At 48.1% G+C, this 12,325-nt stretch overlaps 1 protein-coding gene and 2 long non-coding RNA genes across 7 annotated transcripts in view, besides 3 other annotated features; 2 read left to right on the top strand and 1 right to left on the bottom strand.

Moving 5' to 3' along the window:
- Positions 1-11,122, top strand: part of ZFP62 (ZFP62 zinc finger protein) — a 34,407-nt gene extending 23,285 nt beyond the window's left edge. The window contains exons 1-2 of one of the 3 annotated variants that reach the window (XR_007058623.1): positions 6,374-8,055; positions 10,725-10,812. Coding sequence is in view for 1 of the 3 variants with exons in the window: in XM_047417504.1 (XP_047273460.1) it covers positions 10,725-10,768 (44 nt within the window). In the remaining 2 variants the exon portion in view is untranslated. Of the gene's footprint in view, positions 1-6,373; positions 9,679-10,724 lie in introns of those variants that run through there. The other 2 variants (XR_007058622.1, XM_047417504.1) reach the window with 2 other exon arrangements.
- LINC00847 (long intergenic non-protein coding RNA 847) lies at positions 2,266-7,035 on the bottom strand. Of its 3 annotated transcripts, none has more exons than NR_027183.2 (3): positions 6,763-7,035; positions 6,051-6,256; positions 2,266-3,680 (listed from the first exon to the last, which is right to left on the bottom strand). It is a non-coding gene; the product is annotated as a long intergenic non-protein coding RNA 847 (long non-coding RNA). The 3 variants fall into 3 exon arrangements; NR_045678.1 differs by having other exon boundaries at positions 6,051-6,233; NR_045679.1 differs by lacking the exon at positions 6,051-6,256 and adding an exon at positions 5,132-5,319.
- Positions 5,660-5,829: a silencer, noted in NCBI's record as "silent region_16777". NCBI's record gives its function as "represses an Ori minimal core promoter by ATAC-STARR-seq in GM12878 lymphoblastoid cells {active_cell/tissue: GM12878}" and the evidence as "EXISTENCE:reporter gene assay evidence [ECO:0000049][PMID:35858748]".
- Positions 6,270-6,399: a silencer, noted in NCBI's record as "silent region_16776". NCBI's record gives its function as "represses an Ori minimal core promoter by ATAC-STARR-seq in GM12878 lymphoblastoid cells {active_cell/tissue: GM12878}" and the evidence as "EXISTENCE:reporter gene assay evidence [ECO:0000049][PMID:35858748]".
- HEIH (hepatocellular carcinoma up-regulated EZH2-associated long non-coding RNA) lies at positions 6,374-8,038 on the top strand. The gene has a single exon (NR_045680.1). It is a non-coding gene; the product is annotated as a hepatocellular carcinoma up-regulated EZH2-associated long non-coding RNA (long non-coding RNA).
- Positions 6,760-6,809: a silencer, noted in NCBI's record as "silent region_16775". NCBI's record gives its function as "represses an Ori minimal core promoter by ATAC-STARR-seq in GM12878 lymphoblastoid cells {active_cell/tissue: GM12878}" and the evidence as "EXISTENCE:reporter gene assay evidence [ECO:0000049][PMID:35858748]".
- Positions 11,123-12,325: the final 1,203 nt, after the last annotated feature.

Below are 12,325 nucleotides of genomic sequence, written 5' to 3'. Positions count from 1 at the left end.
TACATCAAGTGCATTGGCAAATGTAAGGTTTTTTTCTTGAGGGAAACTTTAACAGAGCCCAAGAACAGGACCTTGTACTTGAAGGTGCATCAGCTGAAACAGGAGGCTCGGAGGAGGGCGGCTGTCCCTTCTCGTGAACATCCCTTCAAGAGAAGCCAGACATTTGACAGAAATTGAAAAGGAGACTGTTGGAGATTATATTTCTTCTTGAGGGCCTGGATGCTGGTTTTCAGTTACGTAGTCTTCTCCCCAAGGCAAATTCATCCCAGAAGAGTCTTGTGGGGAAAATTCCAGTAAGTTGAACACTTAATTATCATAAATTTCAATGGGAGAAATTGTTATACATTCCAGAGCCTCCGAATTAACATACCTTTATGCCCAAATCCTTTACATCCCAATAGATAGACTGAGTTAATCTCTGCTAAAAGTTAACTCAGGGATTAGGAGCTTCCCTTCAATGGTTAGCCTAAAAAACAGCTGCTTGGTACCTGGCTGCTTTCCCCACCCTCACTGCCGACATCTGTCATTCAGCTTCTTCCTACCGAGTGTGAGGTGCCACACTCTTCAGTTGCTGCTCACAGTCAAGCCTTACAGCTCAAAGCTCAGAGAAGTAGACCTTTAATGCAAAACAAACCCACAAAACAGAAGAAATGTGATAGATAAACACAGTGCTAGTGATGATGTCACACGCAGTGAATAAGCCATTGTATGAAAAAGCAGAAAAGATGGGGAGGACGCAGGTAGAGTCACTGCTGTTGGATTCATCTTCAGAGATGGGCCACACGGTGGTCTCGTTTCATGGCCCTCAGCCACTCACCAATGCTTTGCAAGCTGTTTCATGCTTACTAAATTAATTCTTCATCCAGCTGATGGCCTGAAATAGAGACTGGGATAAGCCTGAGTTAGCAGAAGCTTCATTGCTCTGGGAAGCAGGCGGTAGGTGGCAGGGCTATGTCTGTGGACACTGAGGGACCTGGCTCTCAGGTGGCTACACATGTATCTGCAGAAAAATGTGGGTTTTATAGCTATTCAAATTCATTTCTGGAGATTCTCATTTGATAGCACAGGAATGTTATGCAATATTAATAAGTATAGCTTTTTTATCAACTTGAATAAAATGTATTCTTACAGGAAATTAATTGAATGCTGTGGCAGTCCCTACTTACTGCCTCTGCAAAGAGTAGCCCATAGATCTGCAACCCACCTCTGTTGTCACTATCCAGCCCCCGTGGCTCTGGAATGACAACACAGAACGCTTTCCAAGGCAGCATGGCCCTTACCTCAGTTTACATTTTCACGACAAGACTGGTTTCGCCATGTAGGCTGCTTTGTGGCTTGACCTCTGATGTGGGTTCACTTGTGCCCCCTAAAAATATATGTTCAAGTCCTAACCCGCAGTACATACAAATGTGACCTTATTTGGAAATTGCATCTTTACAAAGGTAATCAAATTAAGATGAGGTCACACTGGATTTGAGGGGCCCTGAATGCAAAGACTTGTCCTTATGAGGAGTGAGAGATTGAGAGACCCACAGGGGAGAACACTGTGTGAAGACTGAGGTAGGGATTAGAGTTGTGTTACTACAAGGAAAAGAATGTCAGGGATTGCTGGGAGCCACCGGAAGCTGAAAGAGGCAAGAAAAGATTTGCCTCTAGAGCCTTCAGAGGGCAATGGCCCTACTAACAACTTGATTTCAGGCTTCTGTCTTCCAAGTCTGTGAGAAAATAAATTTCTGTTACTTAAGCTTCTCAGTTTGTAGAATGAATAGTCATGGGTCACTTAACGTGGATACGTTGTGAGAAATGCATCGTTAGGCCGTTGTGTGAACATCATAGAGGGCACACTCACAAACCTAGCCAGGAGAGCCTACTACACAGCTAGGCTGCACGGCATGGCCTAATGCGCCGGGGCTGCAAACCAGTACAGCATGTGACTGTACTCTGAATACTGTAGGCAACTGTAACACGGTAAGTATTTGTGTATCTAACCATAGAAAAGGTACCGTAAAAATAATGGTGTTATAATTGTATGGAGTACTGTCAGAAACGCAGCCTGCTGCTGACCAAAATGTCATGTGGTATGTGACTCCTTTGTTACGGCTGCCCTAGGAAATTAATACAGGCTGCAAGAGCCAAACAACCTTAATTAATTAATTAGTTTTTTAGAATTTCAAATAAAGTTTCATACTGCACTTGAAATAGTGGTGAGAACATCCATTTGGTAATGAAACTGTCACATAAATGATCGGCTCAGTTGACACTGGCTGAGGAAAACTGCACAAGAAGTTTATTGTCAAAAACATTTATTTCTTCAAGTACAAATAGTAAGTATTAACCATTTCGGATGGTTTGCATGTGCTCGGTTTTACTTATGTTAACTCATTTTTACCTCACAACAGTTACCGTGGTAAGAAATTATTATCCACATTGATATGTAAATATCAATCCACAGAGGAAGAAAATTGCTTAAGACCAAAGTCATAGTTATTAAATGCCAGGGTCACAATATACCATCTGCAAGCTGGAGAATCAGAGAAGCCGGTGGCATGGCCTGATCCAAGTTGGAAGGCCTGAGAAACAAGGAGGCACATGGTGTAACTAAGTTCAAGGCTAAAGGCTTGAGAGCCCCAGAGGGCCACTGGTGCAAGTGTCAGAGTCCAAAGGCCAAAGGACCTAGAGTTGTGTGGTACAAGGGCATGAGAAGGGTGTCACAGCTCTGGAAGAGAGAATTCACCCTTCTTCCACCTTTTTGTTCCATCTGGGCCCTCAGGTGATTGGATAGTGCCTGCCTACATTGAGGGTTGATCTTCCCTACTCAGTCCACTGAGCAGGTATTCTCAAGTCTTTATCCTTGAACTCAGTTCCACCATGTGCTTGTTTCTCAGGCCTTCCAACTTAGACCAAGCCATGCTACCATTTCTTTCTTAGAGTTCTGAAGGCTGGCAAGTCCAAGATCAAGGTGCAGGCAGATCTGGTGTCTGAGGAAAGCCCACCTGCTTCTGGTTTGCAGATGGCAGTCTTTGTGTGGTAGTCTTACATGGCAGAGAGAGAGAGCAAGCTTTTGTGTCTCTCTTTATAATGCCACTGCCATGATCTGAATGTGTCCCCTGAAATTCACTCATAAAACAGTCTCCTCCAAAAACATGGTCCTTCTCAGAAACAGTGCTTCCCCAGCCATCTAGGCATCCCTCAATCCTGTCAAGTTGACACCTAAAACTATCACAGGGACACTCTACAAGTAACTGGTAAACCCACCAGAAGATCAGGGTCCAGATGCAGAAAGCAGGTGCTGATGAGTTTTTAAATATCTTGGGGTCTCCTAGTGGGCTGCTATAGCAAGTTACCATAGACTGGGTGGCTTAAACAACACACATTTCTTTCTTACTGTTCTGAAGGCTGGCAAGTCCAAGATCAAGGTGCAGGCACATCTGGTGTCTGATGAGGGTCCACCCGCTTTCTGATTTGCTGAGGACAGTCTTCTTGTGGTATTCTCACATGGCAGAGAGCAAGCTCTTGTGTCTCTTTTTATAAGGCCACTGCGATGGTCTGAATGTGTCTCCCAACATTCATGTGTTAGAAACTTGGTCCCCACCAGCTATATGGAGGCTGAGGTGGGAGGATCGCTTGAGCCCAGGAGTTTGAGGCTGCAGTGATCTATGATCATGCCACTATACTCCAGCCTAGGCAACAGAACAAGGCCCCATCAATCAGTCAGTCAATACATAAATAAGTCTTTCCATCTATCCCTAATGCAACAGCTGTGAGAGAACAAACATCTGTTCTATATAAATTACCCAGTCTCGGGTATTCTATTATAGCAGCACAAAATGGACTAAGACAGCCACTAATCCCACTCATGAGGGCCCTACCATCATGGCCTAATTAGTTACTTCCCAAAGTTCCCACTTCCTGTTACCATCACAAAGGGGTTAGGATCTCAGCATAGAAACTTTGGGGGCAGACGAGCATTCAGTCCATAACATGGAGTGTCTTAGCTTGGGTTGCTATAACAAATACCATGCCAGCTGGGCGCAGTGGCTCACGCCTGTAATCCCAGCACTTTGGGAGGCCGAGGCGGGCGGATCATGAGGTCAGGAGATCGAGACCATCCTGGCTAACACGGTGAAACCCCATCTCTATTAAAAATACAAAACTTAGCCAGGTGTGGTGGCGCATACCTGTAATCCCAGCTACTCAGGAGGCTGAGGCAGGAGAATCGCTTGAACCCGGGAGGCAGAGGTTGCAGTGAGCCGAGATCGTGCCACTGCGCTCCAGCCTGGGCAATAGAGCGAGACTCCATCTCAAAAAAAAAAAAAAAATACCGTGTCATAGAGTGGTGGAGAAATTTATTTCTCAGTTCTGGGGGTTAGAAGTCTGAGATCGTGGTGCCAGCATGGTCACGTTATGGTGAGGGTCATCTTACAAGTTGCAGATGGCTGCCCTCTTACTGTATCCTCATATGGCAGAAAATCAGCAAGCTAGCTCTCTGTTCTCTTTTTTTTTTTTTTTTTTTGAGACAGAGTTTCACCGTATCGCCCAGGCTGGAGTGCAGTGGCGCAGTCTCAGCTCACTGAAAGCTCTGCCTCCCAGGTTTACACCATTCTCCTGCCTCAGCCTCCTGAGTAGCTGGGACTACAGGCACCCGCTGCCACACCTGGTTAATTTTTTGTATTTTAGTGGAGATGGGGTTTCACCGTGTTAGCCAGGATGGTCTCGATCTCTTGACCTCGTGATCCGCCCACCTCAGCCTCCCAAAGTGCTGGGATTACAGGTGTGAGCCATCTCTGTTCTCTTAGGCAGTCATTCCATTCATGAGGGCTCCACTCTCATGACCTAATTACCTCCCAAAGGCCCCACCTCCAAATAGAGAAATAGATTTCAACATTAATTTTGGGGTGACAGTCCATTCGTAACGGAATGAACCAGGAGACTGCTGACCAGAACATGGAAAGTGCAGCCTTGTAAACAGTCCGTGTGCTCAAGCCTGGCTGACTGTCAGACACAACAACCAAACCCTCACCTTGACCCCCACCCCCAGCCACACTGGAACCTGAACTGAGAGGCCACCCTTTCCCTGCAGGACCAGCTCCTAGAACAGCGGTTCTCAAACTTGAGCAAGTGTCAGAATCACCTGAAGGGCTTTGTTAAAACACAGGCTGCTGGGCCCCAGAGTTTCTGATGCAGGAAGTCTGGGTGGCTGAGAATTTGCATGGTTACAAGTTCCTGGGTGATGCAGATTCTGTGTGTCTGGAGGTAACATTTTGAGAACTGCTGTTTCAGAAGTTCTCCACATTAAAGTCTACCAGTCCTGACTGGTACCTAAGGGGTCATGAGGTAGTCAGTGCACAAGATAGAAAGTGAAAACACTGTCTTAGAATTTAAAACAATACTTCCTAACACCAATAGGTAGCTTTTGATAAAGGAATTATCAAGCATGGCTGTATTCATTTCTTATTGCTGCTGTAACAGATTACTACAATTTGGTGGCTTAAAACAATGTAAATTTATTATCCTAGAGTTTTGGAAATCAGAAATGGAAGCCCAGGCGCAGTGGCTCATGCCTGTAATCTCAGAACTTTGGGAGACCAAGGCAGGAGGACTGCTGGGGCACAGGAGTTTCAGACCAGCCTGGGCAACATAGTGAAACCCCATCTCTACAAAAAATGCAAAAATTAGCCAGGCATGCTGGTGCACCCCTGTAGTCCCGGCTACCTGGGAGGCTGAGGTGGAAGGTTCACTTGAGTCCAGGAAGGTTGAGGCTGCAGTGAGCCATGATTACGCCACTGCACTCCAGCCTGGGTGACAGAACAGACTGTCTCAAAGAAAAAAAGAAATTAGAAGTGAATCTCACTGGGCTAAAATCAAGGAGCCAGCAAGAGTTGTGTTTTTTGTTTTTTGTTTTGAGATGGAGTCTCGCTCTTGTCACCCAGGCTGGAGTGCAATGGTGCGATCTCAGCTCACTGCAACGTCTGCCTCCCAGGTTCAAGCGATTCTGGGGAGGGGAGGAGGAGGGAAGCAAGGAGAGAGGAACGCAGGGAGCAGAGCCTGACCTGGTCACAGGGGTCTGGGAAAGACAGAGGCTTTGTTAGAGCCGGCAGCTGAGGGCCGAGGCCGAGCAGGGGTTAGGCCAGCACAGGACGAAAAGGAAGAAAGTTCCAGGTGGAGTCTGGTGGAGAAAGACCGACCTGGAAGGCACCAGCATGTGCACGTGGCAACTGAGGTCGAGGACGTGCCTGAGAGAGAGGAGGAAGGTGCCCTGCGGACCGGGTAGGGTGCGGAGGTCGGGAATGGAGAACGGTCGTTGGGCAGGTCCGGGTACCCGTAGCCAGAACCACCCGGGTGTGCGCAGCTCGGCCAGGCCCCGCCTCCCGGCGTCCCCGCCCCCTGCTGGGCCTCTCTCCGCAGCCGCGAGACCCGCGCTTGGCGCATAGGCCGGTTCTAATTTACAAGAACACCGCGGCCTGAGGCCGGAGAGTCCCTTCAACCCGGGAGGCGGCGGCTGCAGGGAGCCGAGACGGCGCCATTGCCCTCCAGCCTGGGCAAAAAGAGCGAAACTCCGTCTCAAAAAAAAAAAAACATGGCCGAAACCAGGAAGCTGCGCGATGGCGCCACGGCCCCTCTTCTCCCGGCCTGTGTCCGGAAGGTTTCCCTCCGAGGCGCCCCGGCTCCCGCAAGCGGAGGAGAGGGCGGGACGTGCCGGGGCCGGAGCTCAGAGGCCCTGGGGCCGCTCTGCTCTCCCGCCATCGCAAGGGCGGCGCTGACCTGAGGCCTCCCCGCAAAGGTCCCCGAGGCGGCGGCGGCGGCGGGCTGTGAGAACCGCAGAAGAACGCTGGGCGCGCAGCGACCCGTCCACCCCCGCGAGGAGAGACTTCCACAGAGGCAGCGTTTCCACAGCCCAAAGCCACGTTTCTAGGGTGATGCAGCCCCAGTAAGTTCCTGGCGGGGAAGCTCACGGCTGTCAAAAGAACTCTTCGCTCCAGCCGGCGCACGAAGGGGAGGAGGGCAGGAGGCTGCCGCCCGCACAGGTCATCTGATCACGTCGCCCGCCCTAGTCTGCTTTTGTGAATCTCCACTTTGTTCAACCCCCACCCGCCGTCTCTCCCTCCCTGCGCCTTCCCTCTAACCTTAAAGACCCAGCTACCTCTACGCAAATGGTAGCTACCTCTGCGCAGGTGGAAGTTGAGTTCGGTTCACGCGGGACCCTCTTCCCTGTGGCAAGCTGCTGAAGGAGACCTGCTGTTACTGCTTTAGCTGCTGTTCTGCTTAATCTCAGACAGCTGGAAGGTAGTATTCCGCCCTCGCCCAGCCACCCGAGTAAATGAGAATGATGACTGACTGAGACCCTGATGGTGGTGGCTTAGGCTTAATCTCAGACAGCTGGAAGGTAGTATTCCGCCCTCACCCAGCCACCCGAGTAAATGAGAATGATGACTGACTGAGACCCTGATGGTGGTGGCTTAGGCAAGATGAACGTCTGAAATGGAGGCCCAGGGCTGCCACGATGGCTCTGTAGTCATCAGGGAGGGAGCTCCTTTTATCTTGTTACCTACTCCCCTCTTGTGCCCCTTTCTTCCCTTGATCTAAGAAGGTTGCTCCGGATCTCGCCATCTGGCCTGCGTTCAATCAGCAGAAGCTTCCTGGAGGAGCAGGAGGAGGCACTGTGCTCGCATCACATACCAGTGGCCAGAAGTTGGCTTCAGGGAAGCTCAGGAAATAGGATGCGAGAAGCCATGAGACCTCCCCAAACTCTGCAGTAACAGAGTCAACAAGACAATGGCTTAAAGATGGAGAGACCAGTTGATCGGTCACACAAGCTGTTCCACGATAATTCTTGTGTCAGAAGGGGAGGCTGACTACCAGGACCACTGGCCCCACTTCCAGCCCCTCCATTCTGAGTACACTTCAGAGGGCTCTGGCAGGGTGAGGGGGTCTTGGTGGTGCCACAGAGAGTAAAGGTCTAGCACACCCATTGTGGAGATATTTCATGGGGACAACCCAGTGACTTCACTTGAAGTAAAGTGGGATTTTCCAACCTTGAGATTCTTATTTTCTTTGGTATGCGTGTGGAAGAAGTATGAAGGTGGGGGTTGGGAGGGAGAGCAAATGAGCTGTGTGTATGAGGAGCTGGGGCCTGGCTCTTGACAATATCACCCACCCCCACCCCAGGCTTTCCTTGGGGCAGAAAGACTATGGCCGGGGCTTTCAGTGTCGGCTCCGAGGTATAGAGGTATAACCAGTGCTTTTGGCTAAGTCACGTCACTGATGAGCTTCTCTTTCCACCTTGGCAAACCAATTCTTCTGTAAAATGGTCTTCAAAGTTTCTTTTTTAAAGCAGAGAAACTTATTTTTCAGATAAAAATTTAGATAGAACTATCGGGGGAACCCGATAGGGGCCAGATATCGGGGGAACCCACCCCCAATATTTCAACATAGGTTCTTTCTATTTTCCATAAATGTTGGCCGGCTGAGAAATAAAGAGTACAAAGAGCGGAATTTTACAGCTGGGCCACCGGGGGTGACATCACATATTGGTAGGACCGTGATGCTCACCTGAGCCGTAAAACCAGCAGGTTTTTATTAAGGATTTCAAAAGGGGAGGGAGTGTACGAACAGGGAGTAGGAACAAAGATCATATGCTTCAAAGGGCAAAAGGCAGAACAAAGATCACATGCTTCTGAGGAAACAGGACAAAGGGCAAAAGGCAGAACAAAGATCACATGCCTCTGAGGAAACAGGACAAAGGGCAAAAGGCAGAACAAAGATCACATGCCTCTGAGGAAACAGGACAAAGGGCAAAAGGCAGAACAAAGATCACATGCTTCTGAGGAAACAGGACAAGGGGCAAAAGGCAGAACTCCTGATAAGGGTCTATGTTCAGTGGTGCACGTAGTGTCTTGATAAACACCTTAACAGAAAACAGGGTCTAAGAGCAGAGAACCGGTCTGACCAAAAATTTACCAGGATGGAGTTTCCCAATCCTAATAAGGCTGAGGGTACTGCAGGAGACCAGGACGTATCTCAGTCCTTATCGCTACCGCATAGGACAGACACTCCCAGAGCAGCCATTTATAGACCTACCCCCAGGAATGCATTCCTTTCCCAGGGTCTTAATTATTAATATTCCTTGCTAGGAAAAGAATTCAGCAATATCTTCCCTACTTGCACGTCCATTTATAGGCTCTCTGCAAGAAGAAAAATATGGCTCTTTTTGCCTGACCCCGCAGGCAGTCAGACCTTATGGTTGTCTTCCCTTGTTCCCTAAAAATTGCTGTTATTCTGTTCTTTTTCAAGGTGCACTGATTTCATATTGTTCAAACACACGTTTTATAATCAATTTGTACAGTTAACACAATTATCATAGTGATCCTGAGGTGACATACATGCTCAGCTTATGAAGATAACAGGATTAAGAGATTAAAGTAAAGACAGGCATAAGAAATTATAAAAGCATTATTTGGGAACTGATAAATGTCCATATTAAAATAAAATCTTCACAATTTATGTTCTTCTGCCACAGCTCCAGCTGGTCCTTCCATTCGGGGTCCCTGACTTCCCGCAACATAGAACCCTCAAATAGATGAAGGTGGAGCTTCTTGGGTAGAGACTGGAGGATTGGGGTGTTGCCCACCGGGCCTTACGGACTCTCCTGAGTGATCTGAGTCACCTCCAAAGAGCTAGGTGTCAACTCCAAAACACCCTGTGTCCCTTTCTTCCATTTAGTAATCGAAGCCTTACCACCAGAGGTTTGGCAGGGCACGTTGAAGGGGTGGGTTGCCCCTCCACACCTGTGGGTGTTTCTCGTTAGGTGGAACGAGAGACTTGGAAAAGAAAAAGACACAGAGACAAAGTATAGAGAAAGAAATAAGGGGGCCCGGGGAACCAGCGTTCAGCATATGGAGGATCCCGCCAGCCTCTGAGTTCCCTTAGTATTTATTGATCATTTGTGGGTGTTTCTCCGAGAGGGGGATGTGTCAGGGTCACAAGACAATAGCGGGGAGAGAGTCAGCAGACAAACACGTGAACAAAGGTCTTTGCATCATAGACAAGGTAAAGAATCAAGTGCTGTGCTTTTAGATATGCATACACATAAACATCTCAATGCTTTACAAAGCAGTATTGCTGCCCGCATGTCCCACCTCCAGCCCTAAGGCGGTTTTTCCCTATCTCAGTAGATGGAACGTAAATTGGGTTTTATACCGAGACATTCCATTGCCCAGGGACGGGCAGGAGACAGATGCCTTCCTCTTGTCTCAACTGCAAGAGGCATGCCTTCCTCTTATACTAATCCTCCTCAGCACAGACCCTTTACGGGTGTCGGGCTGGGGGACGGTCAGGTCTTTCCCTTCCCATGAGGCCATATTGCAGACTATCACATGGGGAGAAACCTTGGACAATACCTGGCTTTCCTCAGCAGAGGTCCCTGCGGCCTTCCGCAGTGTTTGTGTCCCTGGGTACTTGAGATTAGGGAGTGGTGATGACTCTTAAGGAGCATGCTGCCTTCAAGCATCTGTTTAACAAAGCACACCCTGCACAGCCCTTAATCCATTTAACCCTGAGTTGACACAGCACACGTTTCAGGGAGCACAGGGTTGGGGGTAAGGTCACAGATTAACAGAATCTCAAGGCAGAATTTTTCTTAGTACAGAACAGAATGGAGTCTCCTACGTCTACTTCTTTCTATACAGACACAGTAACAATCTGATCTCTCTTTCTTTTCCCCACAGCACGTGCCCAGCTTCCTTTCAAGTCTCTGGCCAATGCAATGTGAGCAGAAGTGAAGGGGCAACTTTCAGGTGATGACTTGGAAAAGAAAGCTTAGTCCTCTGCTTCTCCTGTCACCCGAAAGAGAAACAGAGGCTTGTCTTGTTGAAGCCAGTGTGTTTGGTGTCTTTTTGTATAGTGGCTTAGACAGTGGCCTAACTAGAAGACCAAGGCTCAAAGGAACACATTTTGAGCTTCTCCACAGTTTGAGAACCTCTACATTACCTACACCAAGCCTTCCCCAGCACTCAATTTATGGAAGACCATTTCTCTTCTCATGACACATGTCCTCATGTTGCTTTGGCCTGTTTTAAAGCTTTCTCAACTCCATCTCAATAAAGAAATCTGCAGCTTTGTTGGATGAGAGGATCTAAAAAGTTCGTTCTTCCAATCGGTTGTAAATATAGACACTAATTTATAAACTGACACAGGAACACACAGCAAATTAGTAGAAAATCCGATTCCTGTTCCCTTTTCTCCTTGCATTGTTTCCTGCCAATGCTCACCATTTCTTTATCCTTTCCACTCTTCCTTGCTCCTCCTTCCCTTTAATTTTTCTCTGTTGTGCCTAAATAAGCTGTCCATGCATGGCACTCCATGGGCTCTGATAACAGACTCAACAAGACAATGACTTAAAGATGGAGTGACCAGCTGATCAGTCACACAAGTTGTTCCAGTGTAATTATTTTCACAGGTGTCTCAGTTTGGATGATAAATTATATGAACACTCTACTTACAGAACAAAGACCTTTATTTATGTCTCTCTTGCTTCAAAGTCCAAGGTGAGCATGCCTGCCTGGCAGCTCTGCCTCAATTCCTTTTAAATCATTCCTTTGTCATACTTCAGCACACTGCTGTCATCTGTATGGTTGAGCTGGACTGCTGCCATGTTGAGTCACCAGTGACTTTTTGATTCTTTAATTCCCAGTTTGACTGGCATTCCTCTGTGTGTGTGTATTTAGTTCTATGCAGTTTTATCACATGTGTAGGCTTGTGTAACCACTGCCACAGCCAAGATACAGAACAGCCAAGTTTGTTTTTGTTCACTGTCATCTCTCCAAAACCTAGTGCAATGCCTGGCAAAAAGACACTCAGTACATACTTGTTGATGGGGGAATGAATGAATGAATGGTGTGCTAATTGGGGTTTTAAGATGCAAAACCCAAGCAGTGTAAGTGAGGTACATGTGGCGGTCTAGAGGTAGGACCAGCAGGATAGCTGTGCCGTCTATCTCTGGGCCAGGCAACTGCTGCAGTCCTACCATGTCCCCAGCAGATGGGCAGGGGAAAGGCAGGGCCCAGTCTTTACAGGGGCAGGTCCTGGAGTTGCACACCTCACTTCCCCTCATATCCTACAGGCCAGAACTTAGGTGCAGGTACACACCAAGCTGCATAGGAGGCCGAGGTAGATGGTATTACTTGCCTGCAATTCTTCCTTCCCTCTTTTCTCTTACTAATGTTCACCAAAGTGGAGAGTACTTTTCCACAACTCATGCAGGGCTTTGGCCAATGGAATGTGGGCAGAAGCGAGTTTGTTAGTTCTGAGCTGAGGCCTTAGGAGGCCT

Source organism: Homo sapiens, chromosome 5 (genome assembly GCF_000001405.40).
Source record: "Homo sapiens chromosome 5, GRCh38.p14 Primary Assembly".
NCBI classification, from domain to species: Eukaryota; Metazoa; Chordata; class Mammalia; order Primates; family Hominidae; genus Homo; species Homo sapiens.
The sequence above is the reverse complement of the archived record's forward strand: the minus strand, read 5'-3'. Positions and strand labels throughout refer to the sequence as shown.